Here is a 20,369-nt window from a genome sequence, read left to right as displayed (position 1 = left end):
TACATAATTCATTACTGAAATCCTTTTGAAAATACCACCCCCTCAGACCTCTTTGAGTCTCAGAGATTCAGTTCTGCTCTACCTAAGAGTGATGAGAACACTGCAGCACTGAAGGTTAAGCACTGTGTTCAAGACCCCGACAGGCAGCTGGGCCAAGATCAGAAGTCACATCTATTCATTTTCAGTACTAAGGCCTTTCTCTGTGGGGACAGTCCCTTATAGATTCTAAACAATATCAAATCAAACCAAGGTGAGATTTCCTCTTGTTCCTCCCTCACTTAAGTAGATAGTAGTACTAGATATAAAGCAAGTTCCTCGACTCACTGTGTACTAAGTACGATATGGCCAAGTTCACTGACTCTCTTTATAAGGTGAAGAATGGGCCATGAAGCCATAGCCATAGCCAAAGAATGCTAGGAATTGGTGCTATTTTTACCTGTAATTTATCTTCGTGATTGGTATGAGTCTGTGACAGATATCGGAATTCCTGAGTAAGCCAGAAGCAGTGTTTAACATGCTCTGGAGAAACAAAATCTTCAGCCACTTTGATGCAGCTATATAAGTTATGAACCTGAAAAACACCAAGTAATATATCAGTAACAAACCCAAAAGTTCATGACATAAAGAGATTAAAGAAAAAGTAATGATTCTTGCCTGATGTGGAGCTCCTGCCGGGATAAACACCACATCCCCAAGAAACTGTACAATAGCCCAGCCTTGAACTCCATACTCTTGATGAAGACGTTTTCTTAATGATCGGTCTAAATACCAGCTTTGATCATGAATAGGATCGTGGTCTGCTGGGTTTTCTTGACCTTGCTCTTCTGATACCTAGAATACATTCAAAATATTATGCAACTCAGTAACATGCTAAGGCCCAATAAGCCATTTTTTTCCTCTAAACAGTGTTGGCAGTTCATAAATGTCAGGCCTTCTTCAACTTAAGTGCCCCCATTGGCAGAAGACGACTAGTAGTATCAAAGACTTCAGCTGAATGAACCAACAGAAGAATGACGAAGAAAATGTGATGTCAGTTCCCATAAACCATGACTGACAGGCTCTGCATAAGTTTGTAAATACTGTATTTAAACAATATTTTAGTCTAGATTTTTAAACATAAGTAGGCTCAGTATCCTTATAAATGAACTTGTTTTAAAGTTATTAGAAACCTGCCTTTACTTAATCTGACTTACGAAACAGTCCCAAAGACAGCTGCAGATTAGACTTGTTTATCCTTGATCCAGTAACTGGTAAAGCAGAGACTCAGAGTGACAATATCAAAAGAACAATATGGTGACCAAGCCGGTTTTCTGGAAGAGCCAAATGATCCTTAGCCAGAAACACTTTGATTCAAACAAATGCTTGTTAAAGACATACTTGGGGCCAGCTAACAGGTTACGAATGTTCATATCCAAGACTCATGAATGACTGAAGAATATCAGCCAAAGACACCTGAGTTGCAACCGGCAGCCTCAGTGCCAAACAATTTTAAAACTGAACACGACTCATCTTTCTAGTTGCCTAGAATTTCCACACATAGCCCTTGCTGAAAAAAAAACCTGCCAACTACAGGGGAAACCTAGAATCTTCCAAATCCCTGCAACCCTTGCTAGTAACAAGTAGGACCACTTGCTACATGACAGTGGACAAAACCAAACTTAGCAACTCACTCAGAACATGGTCACTCAGGGCCAAGGATACATGAACGTCTGAAGTGCTCAGATTCTCAAGGCAATAAAAACAGATATATGCTGGGAGATGATCAGATGAACTAACTTCTAACTTGAAAGCAGAGAACAAAAATCTCTAAATGCACTCTAACACAAAACACAGACATAAAAGACAAGGCCTGCTTTTTTTAGAAGTGTAACCCTAATCATTTAGAATCCTTGTTCCTTAGCAACCACCTTCAGCCTATTCAATCTGACAGGTACAGATTTAACTTTTCAGGTTGTGACAATTCCCCTAGCCAAGCCAGTCAGTTCACCACATGTAGTAACATAATATTGCTATTCCTTATGCCTCTGTTCACACATGCCATAAGCAGCACACCTTTTTAAGAAATTCCCTTATCTTCTCCGTGTCCTTTGCAGCATATATGTGCCACAGTGCTCCTGGCTTCTCTTTTCCTTCAATAAATCGCTTTATTGTGAGTTCGTCAGAATCTCCATCTTGGATGGTCTTAAGGACTTCTAGAGCAAGAAGAGAAAGCAGATATCAGACCACAAGCCCTGGCTCAAAGAGTAAGCCCTCCTTTTATGCTCAGCACCCTACCTTCTTCTTGCTCACACTGTCCTTTGGGAATTCCCACATAGACCATGACATTAGCTGCATCAGATACATCTAAGTGAAGATTTGTTGTTCCATATTTCCGATCTTCAGGAGTGATTAATCCTGCAAAAACAAAGTGCCTTAAGTTTTACAAAAGACAACAAAGGCTGCCACAGTCTTTCCACTACCTACCTGGGGGATGGTAGGTCCCTGATTGACTCTTCTGCTGAGAATAAAAATTCTGGATCAAATTATTGCAAAAAAATTCTTTAACCAATCGATGTGCTAGCAAGAAAAGAAGGAATACTCAGAAGCCAAAAACAGCAGGAAATGGAAGTGGTTAAAGCAGGCTTCCGAAGCTGGGATTTGCCAAAAGGACATCTGCTAGATCAAGTGAGCTCAGGCTTTGATTGTTGCCACAGCCTAGGAGTTCTGGGGCAAGAGACAAAGCCCAAGGACCACTCGAGATGGGGAGTCCAAGGGAAAGCACCCACCCACACACACACATAAACCTGGAACGTCAAATGGCTATCATGAGTATAAGAAGGAATACTGCCCAACGCATTCCTTGGTTCTCTCAACTGTAAAAGAGGAGGGGTGAGGAGTGAGCCAGAAAGACAGGTCCCCCACAGTGTTCAGTCTGTGGCTAATTCCTTGCTCACAGGAGAAAGCTCACCTTGCTCAACAATCATCCTGAAGCTTACCCTGCAGTCACTTTGGGCAACCCATTGTAACACCAGGACTCTGCTTCTTAGACTGGGCAGTAGGGAGAAGCACAGCTTGTAGTGAGCAAGCAGCGGCTGTTTTCTAACCTGCCAGCCTCTGAAAACGCCCCATAATACTGTTTTGGAGGAAGGCTTTATCTCTGGCTTGCCTGGGGCTTTGGTTTTAGAGGGGCTATACTTTTGAGAGGGCACATTTCTTCACTCCAGCTTGGGACCAGGGCCCCCAGAGCCCTGTTGTACTTTCCTTTCTTTCCAGCTTGCTGAAATATCAGTCCTGGGAGTAGGTAAAGCGTTTGGTATTAGGGTGAAATCATAGGATAGTTGAGAGGATGATGAAAAAACATAAAGAGAGAAGACAATGAAACGATTATGGCAAAAAGTTAAAAGCTGTTATATAACTGGGTGATGAGTTATATGGAGTCACTACCAGACTCTCAAGTTTTCACTGTATTTGAAAAATAGTTCCATAGTAAAAAGCAAAATTTCAGAAAAAAGCAATTAATGTAATAGAAATAAAATGAATGAAATGAACACATGGATGATATATGACAGCATGGATGAATATAAAAAATCTGATTCTATTTATATGAAGTTCAAAAGCAGGCTAAAAACTGAAAGAATATTGTGCAGGAATACAAATATATATGTTAAAATTGTAAATATAAGCAAACGATAAACACAAACTTGAAGATGGTGGTTAGACTAAGGGCAATAGGAAGAGGATGGAGCTGGCAAGAAAAGTAAGGAAAGGAGACTAGGAGGCAAAGCCTCAGCAGGACTGGCTGCCTGCTGATCCAGCCAGTGCCACAGTGCAAAACGAGCAAGGAAATAACTGCTGCCCAGCCACTGGCCCAAAGTCCACTGGATCCCAGTCATGGGTAACTGTACATTGATAAAACCAGACTCTAAACCATGGTAAACTGAGATGAAACCAAAATTGTAAAAACATAATGGTCAAAGGGAAAGGAGTGCTAGACAACAAAACATCCTGAAACAAAACACCATGGACTTTTAAGGGGGAAAAAAAGCTGAAACAGTAGGGGCTGTTGGGTGATGGGGAGTTAAGAGTGGGGGAAGAGTAGGGAAATGGGCTCTAGCTTGGAAATCAGGAGATCTAAGTACTAGTTTCAGACCTGCCACTAGCTGCCCCTTGGAGATCCTGAACAAGTCAATGCCCCTTCTACTGTCCGCAAGTCCTGGTCCTCATTTGCAAAATGGGGGGTGTTGCAGGAACTGAAGAGAGGCTGGATTATATGATCTCTCCAAAGAGCCTTTGCACTTACTCTCATGGAAGAGTCACAGCTCAATCACACAACCTTTGAAAAGACCACTCTTTAATGATGTTTACAATAAGATATAAGGTGTTTGAAAATGAACACATCATTATTTTCATCCTTCTGAATGCTTGCTTCTGGATGGGAACCATTTTGTCATAGGAAAAGCTTTTATAGAGTAACACTGCCATCTATTAGTGTCTAGGGGGAAAGACCCGCTGCCAAGCTAGTTAAACCACGCAAGCAATTCTTTTGAAAATTTCTCAGATACCCACCTTTAAAGCTTCAGGATTTCTATAAAGCATGGATAAACTATACAATTTATTGGAAAAATGCTCTTATATACTTAAGTTTGCCCAAGATCCCAACCATGCAGCTGCTTTAATCAGTCTCTGAGGGGCTCGAGGGACAGGACCTCGAGAGAGCACACTGCAGACCCACAGCACATGGAGGACTCACCAACAGAGACCTGAGAAGTGAGGAACAGGCAAGAGGCCTTGTGCCCACCGGGTCTTCTCACCCACACACAATTTCTCTGGTACCCCTACCCTGGCAGAACTATCTTGGGCATGGAGACTGCTGGGAGCTTGCACACAAAAACACTCCCCTGTCACAACAGTCCCCAACTACACTCCTAGTGGTTCCCTGAGCTGACTCAACCGTAACAGAATTGTGGGGCTGGAGTCCTTGCCCCTCCTTCCCTTCCCTCCCCCAACAGTCTTTGGAGAACATAGCGAAGACAACAACAGACCTTGTCCTTTTTGAGAAAGACACCCACAGGTCTAAGGCTAGAAATGGAAAATGACATGGAAGTAATTATGGCAGGAAGAAATAAGTAATTTCCAGGAGGACTGGAAAAGTAGGGGCCAAATAGTAAAAATGAGTAAATAAAATTCACTGAAATATTCAAACAACTAGAACTGCATTCAACAATACATACTTCCTTCAAAATGGCCAACTCGAATCCAGCCCTAATTAAAGGCCATGTGTAAAACTGACGAAGATCTCAGTTATAATGATGATGAAAGAAAGCTCTGGTAAATGGAGAAACCAATCTTTATCCCAGGCATCCTCCTTGTTAGACAGTGAGTATTGAGTCATGTCAAAAGAATAAAAGTCCAACTCAAAGGGTACTTTGAATCCTAAGTAACTAACTTCTACTCAACAACACAGAACACTGCATTTAATTGTAGCAGATGTTAAGACAGCTAGAATGCCAGCAGATTGACCTAAATGTCCGAACACTGAAATCACTAATAAAAGTACATTCTCTCAATGATGTATCACACACCATTAAAAGTCATCTAAAGACTATTAAGTAACATGTAAAGATTTTACAATGTAAAATTAGGTACAGTAAAGGGAAAAACACAAAATTGCATATGCCCTACAACTGCAACTATGAAAAGAAACACACAAACATGTGGCCAGGGAACGAAAGGAAATATGTAAAAATGAAAGCTGTGGCTGTATTACGCATTAGGATTATGGGTGTTTTCCACCTCTCCCTCCCACAAAATCAATTTTCCAAACATTTTGAATTGTTTTATTTCCATTTTAAAGTTAGCCATCTCCTCCTTACCATAAGCATTATACATCTTGGGGCCCAGATCTGGCCGAACAAAGTAGTTTGGCAGCCTAGAGGCCAAATTCAGTTTGCCATCTCGCCTTGTGTACTCGGGCAGTGGAATGTTGGCCATCAGATCATCAAACCTAGAACAACAGAACCAGGAATTTGCAAAGTTAGATTGCTTTTCTAATTCATTATTGTGTAACCTGTTTTGTTCCTTCTACACCAAAAGGAACAAATCCATCTGTGATCATGCAGACTGACAGCCATCAAATATTTAAGATGAGAAGTACAGCAGTTACAAAGATGTCTTCTCTCTCTCCTACAACACACCAATGTGTCAAAATCAGCTGTAACCGTTCAGACAAAAGATCTCAGCAATAAATTCTAGACAAAAAGTTATTCTTAGAGATATATCATTGATTAGTTGTGACACCCTTTTCAAAGTTTCAAGCTCAGTCAGGAAAATAGATCTACCCAGTAGATGTCTTCTTGTCTAACTCAGTGCTGTGACTACATTGTCCTGACCCTGACAGGTCAGATTCCACAACTGCCTCCAAATCAGCCTTGTAAGAAAAAGTGAGCCTCTTCTCTAGCAGGGCCTACCATGGAAAATCTGTGGTGTTCCATTAGTCAGCCAGGCCTAAAAGCCAATCACTTCTTCATCTCATCTAAAAATAAACATGCCTCCAATGACTACAGACTAGAAATGAAAAATCAGTGGCAGTATAATTACAGAACTTTTGTTATTTTCTTGAAAACTGTTTTCTCACTACCTCAAAAAAGAATTTATCCTACCAAGTGAAGGACAGAATCATCTCTCCCCACCTTCATAATCATACCTGGAAGGCATCATATCTCTAAAATCTTCTCCTGGTGGCCAGTCCTTAAGTTTCAACACCATTGGTTCTTTTTCATTTTTCAAACGATCTGAAAGGTAAACAGAATGAACTATTACTATTTATAATTCAGAAACAGACCAAAATAAATGACAAATTAGCATTTTATGCCTCAACAATACAAATAAAATATGTCTCTGCAAAATTTTCATAACCTGATAAATTTAGTATACAAATATTACTTTTCCTTAATTTTCCCCTCCTACCAACTATCCACCATTTTATTTCTGCAGTGTAAAAAAATCCATTTGTACCCAGGAGGCAGCAAGGTGCAGCAAAATAAAGATCACCAACTAATGGATCTGTGTCAGGGCCTTGTCTTTCCTAGAAGCTTATTAAGCTGCTACTCATTCTTGGGAGATTCAGCCGCTCCCTTTTGCCCACTGCATGTAGGTGGTATTTCAACAGCTGTCATCGATCCAATCTGCTCCTCCTCTACAGTGTTCCAGAAGAAGTGAGCAGCATCCCAACTAACCAACAGCAATGCACGTCAACCATCAAGGGTCACAGGTGTTTAGTAAACCCATTTTTCTGAGGCCAGCATGCAACAGAAATTACTTATTCTGCTCAGAGAGAGAGACTGACCCTATCTGATGTTCTGTCCAGGGACAACAAAGACCAACAGAACAGGTAATAATGCCTCAGTGTTTAAAAGCATAAACATTGTAACAAGGAAGGGGAGGAGAGACGTTAATTTTAAACTCCAAAATCCTGGAAAATGCTGCGGCTGCCACTGATGGGTCTCAGACTCCTGCCATTCCTGTGTCCCCTCCTTTCACATCCCCAACCCCCTTAAAAGATCTTTCATACATACTTGGAACATCTTCAAATCCATCCCAGAAGTCTCCTACTGTGGCTCCTGTGATGATTTCATTGGTCCTACAATTAACTAGGTCTACTTCCTGCTCACCAAACTCTTTCCTGAAGGATTCAGGTTTCCAAAGTTCAGAGTTCAATTTATGATGCACTCCAGACACCATCACTGGCTAAATGAAGAGAAGGAAAACTTTAGTCTGAACTCTGCCAGCTCTGTCCCCACTCCCGAAGGCAGTCCCTCTTCACACTGCTATTGGTATATTTCCATGGAGCTGGTGCTCCGTCTCAGATGGTGATGTGACAGTTTCGGCTTAGTTCTCTGAGCTCCCAAAGCACCTCCAACCTTCACCATTCATCTGCTACACACCCTTGCTCTCAAACTACATGGGTAAGCATCTAGGAGAAAGGATCACCTCTCCTAGTAAGATCTCATTACTTACAGCAAGACGGACTGTGAAGAAGACAAGCGCTGGAAGGAGTGTCCAGTGACACCAGTCACCAGTGAAACAGGGTGACTGACCCCACCGTACTTGAGCCTGTTATTGCCAAGCAGGAATATGGCCTGTGACACCCCTCACTACTACTGGCTGTGTGAGGGTGCCAAATCTTTTGGCCGTCTAAGACAACCCAGAAGCTCTAACCTTTATGTGAAATAGTCTAACATTAAAATATTGACAAGCAAGAAAGAAAGCCTGCCGATAAACTGTATTCAGCCCATCATTTTGTTTCTTGTCTATATATGATTAAATGAGCAAATCCTATTAGTACACTGGATGGAGAAAAACATTTTGGAAATTTATTTTTGGTTAAACACTCACATCTTTCTGTTTGGCAATTCTCCCAAATTCTTGTCCAAGAGCAGAGTGTTCCTTTAGCAAAGACCCTATCTGGCCAAACAGAGAAGCCAGAGATCCAGAAAACAGAACCAAAACAAGAAAGCACAGAAGCAGGCCTAGAAATTCTCCTAAAGATATTAACCGGCACTTAAGATCCAACAACACTGCCCTTTGAAGCAGGCACCTGGGGACTATGTGACACCACGCGGCCCTAGCCCACCTAGAACTGCCTTCAGCACAGGCTTTTCATTCAGGTAAGAGGGGTGCATGATTTTGTAGCACATTTTGTCTGATCTCCCAAATCCCATCAGCCTGTAGTCACACCCTCACTTCCTCTGCTGAAGTTTACCATAGGAATCACCAAGCCTGGATGCCCTCGTCAAAAACCCAACAGGGACTGGTAGGAAGCAACAAAAACCTGACTGGAAAAGTCCAGCTTAGGACCATCTGCTTTAAAAAGTAAGACCCATGGCCACATCCTGACCTGATTATATTCACCTGAAACAATAAAGAATAAAACAGGAGGTGAAGGAGGGGGAAAGCCTGGGGTGGGGTTGTCAGAAGTCTGCTAAAGGAACTGAGAAGGGGGTTCTGAATAGGGCAGGAGGATGGGAGGCCTACATTACCTGCCCTTGTTTCCAGCACTCCCTAAACACATTCCAGTTGCTCTTATTGTTGGGGTCTTGCAAGCACAGCAAGCGATTATCACAAAGCCAATAGTGAGGAGTGTCAAAGCCCAGAATGCTGGGCTTGATGGTTAGTCCTTGAGGCCTCTTAGATAAATCAGAAGTCGTCTTATTTTGCACCAAAGAGGCAAAGATGTCATCAAGGATTTTTGGTGTATTCTTGAGTCCATTTTCTGTCTGAATTGGAGAAAGAACAAAAGTCTCAAATATGTCATTCCCTTACCATCAAGAAACTCCATTCCCATAATGAGTATAGATTACATATCCAGAAGATTCCAAGCCAGGACCCCCAGGCAAAAAGGTACGTCCCCTGTCCCCACTTGACAACTCATAGAAGTGAGGTAACAGGAGAAAGTGGCCCAGCTCAGAACTATAGTCCCATAAAACCCATCCTCCAGTGACTCAGCCTTCTGAACCCACAAAGGTAAGTATGTGATTCAGTCTCCTTTCTACTTTCAGTTCCAACTTCTCTACTCTCTTCCTGTTCTGTCTTCAACTTTAAAACATGGAATACCAACAAACAAACACATACCTTTCCTGTAGAAGAATTCAAGAGATTCCGGAGGAAACCAGAATTGTTGTTGCTTACGGGTGTCAAAATTGTGCTGTTAAACGTATGGAGGACTGTGCTGGATTTGCTTAAAGGTGGGAGGGGTGGAAGGCATTTGATTTCATTCTTTAAAATTGGCATTGTTGGTTGTTTTTCTAAAATAAAACCAAAACATCCAGATGAAAAAACATTCTGAAAGGCAAATCCCTTATTAGTATTCTACTAGCAGAATTACTTTAGAACTTGCTTTCTATTTACTGAAACAAAAAAAATACTTTAGGGAGTAAGTATGAATGATATGATTTACTTAGACGATTCCTCACTGATGTTAAAAACAATAACTATCCAGTACAATGGAATTTTGTAAATTGACCTTTGTATCTAGCAACCCTGACAAATGTTTAGTAAATGTAGATTCTTTTGGATTTTTTGCATGTACTGTCTACAAATATTGGCAGCATTCTCTTTACACATTTTTTTTCCCTGAATGCACTGACCAGGACTTCCAGTACAATGCTTAATAAAGAGTGAAAACAGATATCCTTTGTCTTGTTCTTGAACACAGAAACTGTTTAAAAAAAAAAAAACAAAACCAAACAAACAAAAACCTCAAAGACCAGCTTGGCCAACATGGCAAAACCCCACTTCTACTAAAAATACAAATGTTAGCAGGGCGTGGTGGCAGGCGTCTATAATCCTAGCTATTTAGGAGGCTGAGGCAGGACAATGGCTTGAACCTGGGAGGCAGAGTGCAGTGTTGCAGTGAGCCAAGATCATGCCACTGCACTCCAGCCTGGCTGGACAGAGCAAGATTCCGTCTCAAAAAAACTCAAAACAAATTTTTAAAAAAATTCAACGACTATTTATGATGTCTCCAGTCTTGTTTTTTGGTTTAAACTCTTGATTAAGAATGTTCTTAATTTAAGAAGTTTTTTGTAAATCATTAACAGGTACTGAATTTTACTTAATGTTTTCCTGCATCTTGTCCCATGATTCTTCTACATTTTTGAATGTCAGACTGTATCTTCATTTCTGGAAAAACCTTGAAAAACTTGAATTCTTTTCCGGCCACTTGCTAATTGTCTTACTTCGGCTCAAATGAGCTGGTTTCTATATGCTTCAGCTTCCTCATCAGTAATACAGAAATAATGAGCAGTATTGATGATTGGGCATCACAGAATTACATCACATGTAAAGAGAGGGCCTGGACCACAACAGGAGTTTGAATATTCCTTTTCCTCTTTCTAAGGTATGTATAAACTCACCAGCTGTGCTCTTGCCAGCTTTTCAAATTATTTTTTTCTACAACAGTCATCTTAGACTTAATTTATGAGTTCTTTTAAGAGCTCCTTATCACATTTTTAAAGCTATATAAAGGTTTTTCCAGAAATTCAGATGTAGTCTAACATTCAAATATTCCTTCATTTACAGTGTCAAATTTGATTCATTAAAATTTTGCTCCAGATCTTTGCATGAAAGAAGTGGCCTGCAATTCTTCTCTTCTGTAACACAGCCAGAAGGTGGAAGTCCCTAAATTTTAATGCAGCAAAATTTCTCCTCTTTGGTGCTGCATTTCAAAAACACTTTCATTTGTGGCAGGTTCCAGGATGACTCCAGAGAAGCACTTTCCATTCCACACGACTTCTAACCACTGTTCTCTCAAGTCCTTCCACGAATGGACTAAAATACTCAAGAACAAACACAAAAGCAGGAAACACTCACCCTTGTTTTCCTTGTTGACATTCCCGCTGGTTAGGTCGGCCAGCCAGTTTAGAGGAGATGTGCTGGCTGGACAGGCAGGCTTCATGCTGCCGGCTGGCTTGGAGGCTGCTTCCCCACCCACAGCTGCTGGCTCCAACACTGAGGGATTCTGCTGGAGCACTGCACCAAGAGTCGGTTTTTCTCCAGCTAAAGAAGTCTGTGTTAAGCATTAAAGGACGATTTTACATAAGCTGAAGAATGACAGCTTCCTTTTCTTTTCTTCTCTCCTAATAGCCGACCAACAAGTAAGATAAATATCCAGAACAAAACCACCTAATAGTTAGCCCTGGGTATCCCCACAGCTGCAGTAATCCCGCACTAGTAGAGAATAACTAAAAGGTAGGAGAGATGTCAGCAACTTAAACACAGCAAGGTATTACCCCCCGCACCCTTTCACCAGCCCCTGCTGGTACATATCCCTATTACTCTATGTACCATGCTGGTTTAAAATGACCAGTTTGTGCCTGTCTCCCCTATGAACTCATCCCAGAATTCAGGATAGGCACAGAAAACATGGTTAAAAACGAATAAATGACGCAGGCAGGAAAGGTAAAGCGGTGATTTCAGAAGGAAATGGGATGCAGAGAAAGAGAAAATGCTATTTTGACTTAGCTTTAAAAATGTGATGAGCTCTTAAAAGAACCCATAAATTAAATCTAAGATGACTGCTGTAGAAGAAAATAATTTTAAAAACTGGCAAGAGTGAGTTTATACATACATAAGAAGGAGGAAAAAAAATATTCAAACCCCTGTTGTGGTCCAGGCCCTCTCTTTACATGTGATGTAATTCTGTGATGCCCAATCATCAATATTGCTTCTTATTTCTATATTACTGATGAGGAAGCTGAAGCACATAGAAACCAGCTCACTTCAGCCAAAGTAACACAACTAGCACGTGGAAGGAAAAGAACTCAAATTCAGTTCTGACTCCAAATATTACAAGTCTTCTGCTCTCCCATCCTGCCTTATGACACCACAGCTTTATAGAAATGTAAATTTCTGATTATTAAACACAATGCGGCATACTGATTACTGGAACGAGGGGGAGAAGGGACAGCAAGACGTACATGTGATGGTGGGGAGGAGAGGGATGCCACCAAGGAGAGACATATGAGGACTGAGAAAATTAACATTTTTTACATTGTGTGATGGGCAACTAAAGGTTCATTTCATCATTTCCTTCAACTCTGCATAAACACAGGCAAAATATATTTAGTAATTTTAAAAATGTTAAAGCTTATCTTAATAATTTTAATTCTGCAAAATACACAAAAAATTTTTTTAAACCCTTTACAAATTCGACAGCTACTTATTAGGTAGACTACTTTAGAACTTTGTGCTTCTTCAAGAAACAAAAATGTAAAACCTACTACAAGAGGCCACAGTAGAGTCTACGAAAGTAATGTGAAAAGTCAGAACGGGTCTCTGAACTGTCACATGAACTGTATGAATTCTTTCTCTCTCTCTTTCCACTTGATAGCTATCCCCAGGTTCCTTTCAAATGCACTGATAGAAATCCTTGGGTTATTTGAAAAACAGACAAATGACAATTACAAGAGATGTTGAATTTAACATAAGCAGTAAATACCTGTTTTAGGTCTTCCTTTGAGGCTGGCTTTGAAAAGAGTTTGAATTGCCTGTTTGAACAAGGGCAGTTTGCCTTTATTCCCCATTTCGCTCTTACAGAATGAACAATGTCTCCAACATCATAGAGTGCTAAAGAAAGGGCAGAGGCAAACATCTGAACAAGGATATTAGGAACTTTCAACCTCAACATTACAGAGCAGAAGCTGGCATTCCCCACAGGATTACTTTTCCCACTCCCTCCTTTTCATCCTGCTCCAGAGGCCTTCCCCAAAATGCATTTTCTTTTCTACTACAAAACTATCCCACAAAACTTGACTCGAAAAGTGTTGGAGGAATTATCTAATATATTTCTGGACAACTTACAATACACACTAAAATAAACTTAACGAGTAATAAAGGAAAACAAAACTACCAGCTCCCATGAGTTAACCAAGACAAGGGGAAAGAAAATCACTGCAGCACATGAAATACCTTTTCCAGGAATGATCTGTGTGGGCATTAAGTTCTCTGGTTCATGTATCTGACTCTTCACACATTTTAGCCAAGAGAAAGTCTTGTAAGCAGCACCTGCAAATAACTGATTTGTAGTAACTGTTCTTTACAGACTCTGTCTCCACATGCTTCAAGAAACCCGCCAAACACAAATCAACAAAAACACTTGATTTAACTGTGTAGAGGGGCTGGAGGAGAATCAAATCGGTTCTCACCCTGTTGGCAATTCTTTCTCTTCATCCGGTAGCAGTCCACACATACTCCAAACCCACACCGAGGACACACCCAGTGCAGGTTGAAGATGGTGGTGTCGCACACATCACACATTTCTCGAACACCTTTGACAGCTCGCTTCCAAGCAACCTGTCCTGCAAAAATCAGTAAATCACTTAGTCTTTGGAAGGAGAGGGCTTCTGAAACCAAAAACGAAAGGTAGGGGTTATTGTCATTCCTCCCTGTGACTAGACTTCAAATTAACTTTGTTCAGGCTTCATTGCAAATGCTGTCCTCCACCCCATGAAGTGTTCCTGGATCCCCTCAGCACTCCTAGTAACTTGAATTTGTACTTCAGATTCATGCCTCTTCTCACTTTATGTATTCAGGCACAGTCTCACCTCCCTCTAGGAGAATGAACTCCAAGCAGAATCCCTATTCAGACTGTGCAGCAGTAGTTACACAAGTTGGAGCTCAGACACAGGTTATCACACAACAGTGGTTCTTAACCTCTGAGTCATGAGTCCCTTTCAGAATTTAAAGGCAGCATGTTCCAGGCTTTCTCCAAAGGAAAAAAGAAAAATTTACTCAGATCCACAAACCCAGTAATCTGCACTGAGTATCAGGTTATTCAGATACCCTACATCCACTCAGACTGCCCATTAAAAACTCCAAGGTTCTCAGGGGGCCTGGAGGGAGTTGCACATTAACTTTGTGCAGGCACAATGGTCCAAGATCAGTTTCTTCACCAGTCAGTCAGAAATTCGATTTAGCCAGTGCCAGGAATGATGCAGGCACCCAGGACTAACTCACACTAACCAAACATCCAGCAGATTAAGGCACGACCGGGGATTCCACAAAGCAGCATTTTCTGTTCCAGTGGCCAAGACCTAATAACTGGAGGGAGAGGCCTTCCAAAACTGGATGGGCCATTGAACCCTTCCCCTAGATGGAGGAGTGCCAAATCAGGGAACCAAACCAGGTTATCAGCAAGCTTTCAGAAGTATGAGCAAAGGGAGGACATTTCTGTGGGTCACAGAAAAGCCCAAGGTCTCCTGACTAGGAGACTCCTGGCAGTCAGTCTCTCTCTCTCCTGAACAACACTGGATCAAAGCTGCTGCACTCCTGTTCTATGGAGAACATCTTTTTCCTAATCCAGTTTGGGGTTAACTCATTCCTTCTTCAGACTGAACACAACCCAAATGACCAAGCTTTAGTTTATACAAAATCAATCCAACTGCTGAATGAACTTCTGCCATTACATTATAATGTATTGCACAGGGCACAATTCATATAGCTTTAGGCATCTTACAAATGAGATTTTATGAACTTCATCTTGGACACCTGGATTAGACTGTTTCATCAGAAAGTACTCTTAGATCTCTTAGCCACCTGTTTAATGATTATTTGTCACTGAAAGGACAGAATAAAAGTAGTAATAGTCGAGATCTGCTCCCTAATCTCAGGATCAGAGGTAAACTCTTCTGGGTATGGTGGCATATTTCAGTATCACTCACAGTGAGTTTCTCTCTCCAGTCTGACCAGCTTGTCACAGAGAAAAGAAAGAGCAACAGGATAATCAAAAAGGCAAGGAGGAGAGGTTAATCCCATTTAAATCTTCAAGGAGAGTTTCTTAATTATGCTGTAAAAGATAACTGTGCCTTTTTCTATATGAAAAAAACATTTTTTAGATGACTCATCTTTATCAAAGAAAAAGCCATCACTTGCTTAAAACAGCTCTGCTGATTCAGGAGCAAAGCCACTAATACATTCCAAAAAAGTGTTTCCACATTGCAGTCATGTATGTACCACTGCCAGACCAGTTACTTAGGAATTTTTCTTTCAATCTACTACTTTTACTTAAATATATTTAATAAAGAAACTTTGTATCTCTATTGAAAATGGAAAACTAATATTGCTTGTCTTAAACAGACTACAGGGGGAAAAGTATAATAAGACTCTTGACTTAGAGTCTCCACTACCCCAGCAGAATGAAGTAATTCTAAAGAATAGCTCTGGTTGTCCCAGGCACTCGCAATTCCCTTTCTCCCAGGCAGCTCTGGATTCCTAGAGCTGGGAATGACCTAGTCCTGTTCCTTGGACTCTGAGACAGTATCCACATATATTCAATAAGTTATTTTTGTGCTTAAGCTAGGTTGTTAGTTGCTGGTAATAAATCAAAATTCTTAAGACTGGCATGGATGCTTGTATTCAAACATACTTGGTTAAGCAAAGTCTAAAAAGAGACACACCAGAGGAATAGAAAGGCTTCACTTTTAACTTCAACCACTGGTAAAGATAAAATGATGGAAGAAAATATGAGGCTTACAAGACAGATGCCCCATGGTGCTTCTGGCTGGATAACTCATTTCCACAGAGGGACATGGATAGGAAGACGCTGCACCGTCCTCCAAACATCCTAGCTTGAGATGTCATGAAGGAGGTCTGGCTCTAATGTGCCACCTACCCTGATTCCTGTGGCTTAATGGCTGCCAGATCAGTGTAACAGTGCTCCCAAAGAGGGGAAGACACAAGCACATGCACATCTAGAACCTCCAAGTATTCCCTTCAAACCTTGACTCTAACAATCATTTCCATTCTGAACCTGTTCTCATTCTCAAGTCTGGGACCCAGCCCTGCAGACTCTAACTCGGTAGGTCTGAGAGTCAGCCTTCCCATTCTTATTTTCCTCGAAATGTATTCATGATTAAGAACCTTTGTTTTAAAATAAACCAATCTGAGACCTCATCCCCTTTTAGTGTGCCTGCACTGCTGGTGAGGCTGTGCAAATTCCACCCTCACTTCACCTTTCCTAACAAAAAAGGAGTTCCACTCCTCTGTTAATTGGCCCAAAATAAACCCCAAAGATAGGTGGCTAACTCTGATCAAACCTGTTGCAAAAGGAAAAATGCAACCTCATTATACCAAAGTTATCTAAACTTCTGGGTGAAAAAAAACCCAAGCAATTAGGACTTAGGTGTCACTTAGGAACAAAAATCAAATTGGGCTCGAAAATCCTACCCCCTAAGAGATGCTCTTACTGTGTGGCTCAATAGTTGACATAGCTTCCTTTTCAGAAATCACCATTTGACAGAAGTGGTCTCCAATGTTGGCCAAGATGTACTTTGCTGTGTCCAAATCAATCCCCACAACGTTTTTGGTTAAAGGTAACCACAAGCCAATTGCTTCATTGTCATACTTGTTTGGTGTTAAGAAGCCTTCTACCCGCAACACACCATGTTTGTTGAATTGTAACCTAGGGGAAGCAGGGGAAAAAAAGATGTAATGTACACACACACACACACACACACACACACACACACACACACAACTTATTTACAACTTGTAATTACTTTTTTTTTTTTTTTGGGATGGAGTCTCGCTCTGTCACCCAGGCTGGAGTGCAGTGGTGCCATCTCGGCTCACTGCAACCTCTGCCTCCCAAATTCAAGCAACTCTCCCTGCCTCAGCTTCCCCCGTAGCTGGGATTACAGGCGCCTGCCACCACTCCCGCCTAATTTTTGTATTTTTAGTAGAAATGGGGTTTCGCTATGTTGGCCAGGCTGGTCTTGAACTCCTGACCTCAGGTGATACGCCTGCCTCAGCCTCCCAAAGTGCTGGGACTACAGGCATGAGCCACCGTGCCCATCCACAACTTGTAATTACTATTTAAATCAACAAAGTCCTTCCTAGTTTTCTGTAATCTCCATGGCTAATCACAGCCAATGATTATTTGGCAATGTCAGTAGGAAGATTAAAAACACTTTTTCCCCAAAAGACAAGCTAGACAGGGGAAAGAGGAGGGAGGAGAAGGGGAGAGAGGTATATTTTGCACTCAAACCAATATAATCATACTGCCTCCAGGGATAGTTGTTCAACTTGCTGGACTTGACACTTAAGAGCAAGGAAAATCACAAGTTACTACAGAAGTTAAGTCGTTAACAAACAGAAGGTGATAAATAATCTGATCAGATTTAAATACAACTACTGCTTCAAGAAAAAAGCTCAGCTAAAGAAGGGTAACCCCTAGATAGTCACTGAAGCAATGACCACACTGGTCTGTGAGGTACTTGGTGCCTATATAAATTCCAGCTGCACGTTACCGTCCAAGCTTCTGGAAAGAGGGAAGCATTAAAATGGGCCTCAGAACCTAAGAAGTGGAACAAAGGGCAGAACATTTGTTCATTATCTGCCTTCAATACTGTATAACACTTGAATGTTCTTTTCATAAGCTATGTATTAGTTTTAAATTTTTGAAACACAAAATTTTTCTTTTTCTTTTTGAGACAGGCTCTCACTCCAATGCCCAGGCTGGAGTACAGTGGTATGATTACGGCTCATGGCAACCCCCACTCCCAGACTTCAGCAATCCTCCCACCTTAGCCTCTCAAGTGGCTGGGAAGGCAGGCATGTGCCACCACGCCCAGCTAATTTTCTTTTTCTATTTTTTGTAGAGACAGGGTTTTGCCCTGTTGCCCAAGCTGCTGTCAAACTCCTGGGCTCAAGCGATCCTCCCACCTTGGTCTCCTGAAGTGCTTCGATTACAAACATGAACCACCATACCCAGCCTAAAAGTACAGTATTCTGTCTAGGCACAATGGCTCACTGTAATCACAGCACTTTGGGAGGCTGAGACAGATTCAGTTTGAGACCAGCCCAGAGAACACAACAAGACCCTGTCTCTACAAAAAAAAATTTTTCTAATTAGCCAGGCATGGTAGCACAAGCCTGTAGTCCTAGCTACCTGGGAAGCTGAGATGGGAGGATCACTTGAGCACAGGAGTTTGAGGTTACACAGTGAGCTATGATCGTGCCAATGCACTCCAGCCTGGGCAGCAGAGCAAGATTCTGTCTCTAAACATAAATAAGTAAATACATACATGCATACATACATACAAACAAATATTTCTAGTAGGAGACATAAGAAATAGATATAAAACACAATGAAGTAGCCTGTAACAGATATCCTAACAGTCATTAATTCTTATAAGAGCAGAGGAGGAAGTGCTGACTGCTGACTATGAGTTTTGTGGGCCAATACGACAAGGACTTCATAATAAAGAGAGTAATTGAGCTTGCTTTGGCAAGAAAAGGTAGACAATTAGGTAAAGAAGGTATGTCCAAGAGACAGTACTTCATATAAAAGCAAGAAAACTAGAGGTGAACAGGGTGGCAATAGACTAATTAGACTAAAGGGTTTATTCAAATAGGTAAGAATCAGGAAGAACTTGCAGAGGTAAGTTGGGGTCAACTGCTGAAAGCCTTCAGTATTTCATTGGGGACCTTGACTTTGCTAGGCAGTGGGCAGCTATCAAAAGTCATCATGTGAGACACATGCAAAGTTGTGTTTTAGAAAAACCATTTGTCCAAAAGAGTGTAGAATAAACTGGAAGGACAAGACACTGTTACCTAACACACGCAAATTATTTCAAGCAGTCAAAATGAGAGATGAAAGTTTTTAATTTTTTAAGATGGCCCAAATTAGAGATAGTCATAACACAAAAAAATAAATTTGAAAGCATTTCAAAGTGGGAGGTAATGGCAATAGGACCTAGCAGCTGAGCCTTACCACTGAGACCCTACCCCTACTCCTATTTTATTTGCAGAAGAGTTTAATGAGATACAAACTTGATGAGGAGGCTAATGACAGCCTCAATCTTCACTCTAAACATCAGGAAAAAAGTTAAATTATGATATTCTTTTACCAAGATATGAGTTTCTTCTGGTTTCTACTACACTGGCTTCTACTACGCAGCATTAGGCAAAGGTACTTTCCCCTTTAAAGAAGTCAAAAATGAAAAAAACAGCTAAGTCATAAAGTCAATGACTTCTAGACTGTTACAAAAATGTAGTGGGTTAAAAAAAAAAGCTCTAATCATATTACAAAGAACAAAAGAAAGAAAAAAAAATTATCCCTTCCCTAAAATGCCTTTGCAACTTAAACCACTCTCTCATCCAATCTAGTTATATTTTTCATAGCAGAGGAGCCATAACAACATGAAATCAAGTGAATAGAAACACAAAGACCTGTACAAAGCATAACCATTTCAGTGTCTTCAAAATTCATACACATACAAATGAATATGCATTGTAACACACTGTTTAAGAAGAAAATTCTCGAGAGGAAGGGAAACAGAGTTACCCTCTACTAACAGCTTATTCTGGGCCAGGCGTTATTCAGAATATATTAATATATGCATATGTTAACATACGTTAACAGTATTACAGCTCTAAATGCTACCCACATGCTTTATGACGTGCTTTTGCAATTTACAAAGGGATGAATGGGGCAAACTAGTACCTAAAAAACTCTTACTTCGTTAAATAAGCCTGAATCTGAAAGTTACGAGCACAGATATAATGATCTAAATTCCCTGTGCATTTAATTCAGCTCATCAGCAATCTTTTAACTTAGATAAAATGAAAAGGGAGGAGGAGAATAGGAATTGAAATCAACTCTTCTGTTTATGATTAGAGTTAGTCCAACCTGAAAGTACCTAGATTTCTGAGAAAGTGAATTATATCTCAAGTTCAACTATACCAACACTGTTCATTTCTATATGAACAAAAAAGATAGGGCTGCTTTTTTCTTCACTCAGGATAGAAGAATTTAAAGAAAATGATTTTGAAAATATATATATATACACACATATATATACATATATACACATATACACACACACATATAT

General features: G+C 40.8%; 1 protein-coding gene across 8 annotated transcripts in view, besides 1 other annotated feature; it reads right to left on the bottom strand.

The window, feature by feature from the left end:
- KDM3A (lysine demethylase 3A) overlaps positions 1–20,369 on the bottom strand; it is a 55,673-nt gene that overhangs the window by 1,005 nt on the left and 34,299 nt on the right. For 7 of the 8 annotated variants that reach the window (XM_047445102.1, NM_018433.6, XM_047445101.1 and 4 more), the window contains 14 exons: positions 16,722–16,936; positions 13,683–13,835; positions 13,447–13,542; positions 12,977–13,104; positions 11,350–11,545; positions 9,610–9,782; positions 9,018–9,254; positions 7,554–7,725; positions 6,683–6,770; positions 5,853–5,983; positions 2,275–2,394; positions 2,053–2,192; positions 655–831; positions 437–571 (listed from right to left, as the gene is read on the bottom strand). In XM_047445102.1, the coding sequence (XP_047301058.1) occupies positions 437–571; positions 655–831; positions 2,053–2,192; positions 2,275–2,394; positions 5,853–5,983; positions 6,683–6,770; positions 7,554–7,725; positions 9,018–9,254; positions 9,610–9,782; positions 11,350–11,545; positions 12,977–13,104; positions 13,447–13,542; positions 13,683–13,835; positions 16,722–16,936 (2,161 nt within the window). Of the gene's footprint in view, positions 1–436; positions 572–654; positions 832–2,052; positions 2,193–2,274; positions 2,395–5,852; positions 5,984–6,682; positions 6,771–7,553; positions 7,726–9,017; positions 9,255–9,609; positions 9,783–11,349; positions 11,546–12,976; positions 13,105–13,446; positions 13,543–13,682; positions 13,836–16,721; positions 16,937–20,369 lie in introns of those variants that run through there. The other variant, XM_006712051.5, reaches the window with a different exon arrangement.
- Positions 8,707–9,906: an enhancer, noted in NCBI's record as "CDK7 strongly-dependent group 2 enhancer chr2:86708929-86710128 (GRCh37/hg19 assembly coordinates)". NCBI's record gives its function as "activates an origin of replication core promoter dependent on BRD2, BRD4, P300/CBP, MED14 and CDK7 cofactors, with strong dependence on CDK7, by STARR-seq in HCT116 cells {active_cell/tissue: HCT116}" and the evidence as "EXISTENCE:reporter gene assay evidence [ECO:0000049][PMID:35650434]".

Source organism: Homo sapiens, chromosome 2 (assembly GCF_000001405.40).
Source record: "Homo sapiens chromosome 2, GRCh38.p14 Primary Assembly".
Taxonomy (NCBI): domain Eukaryota; kingdom Metazoa; phylum Chordata; class Mammalia; order Primates; family Hominidae; genus Homo; species Homo sapiens.
This window is presented reverse-complemented; position numbering and strand designations above follow the sequence as displayed.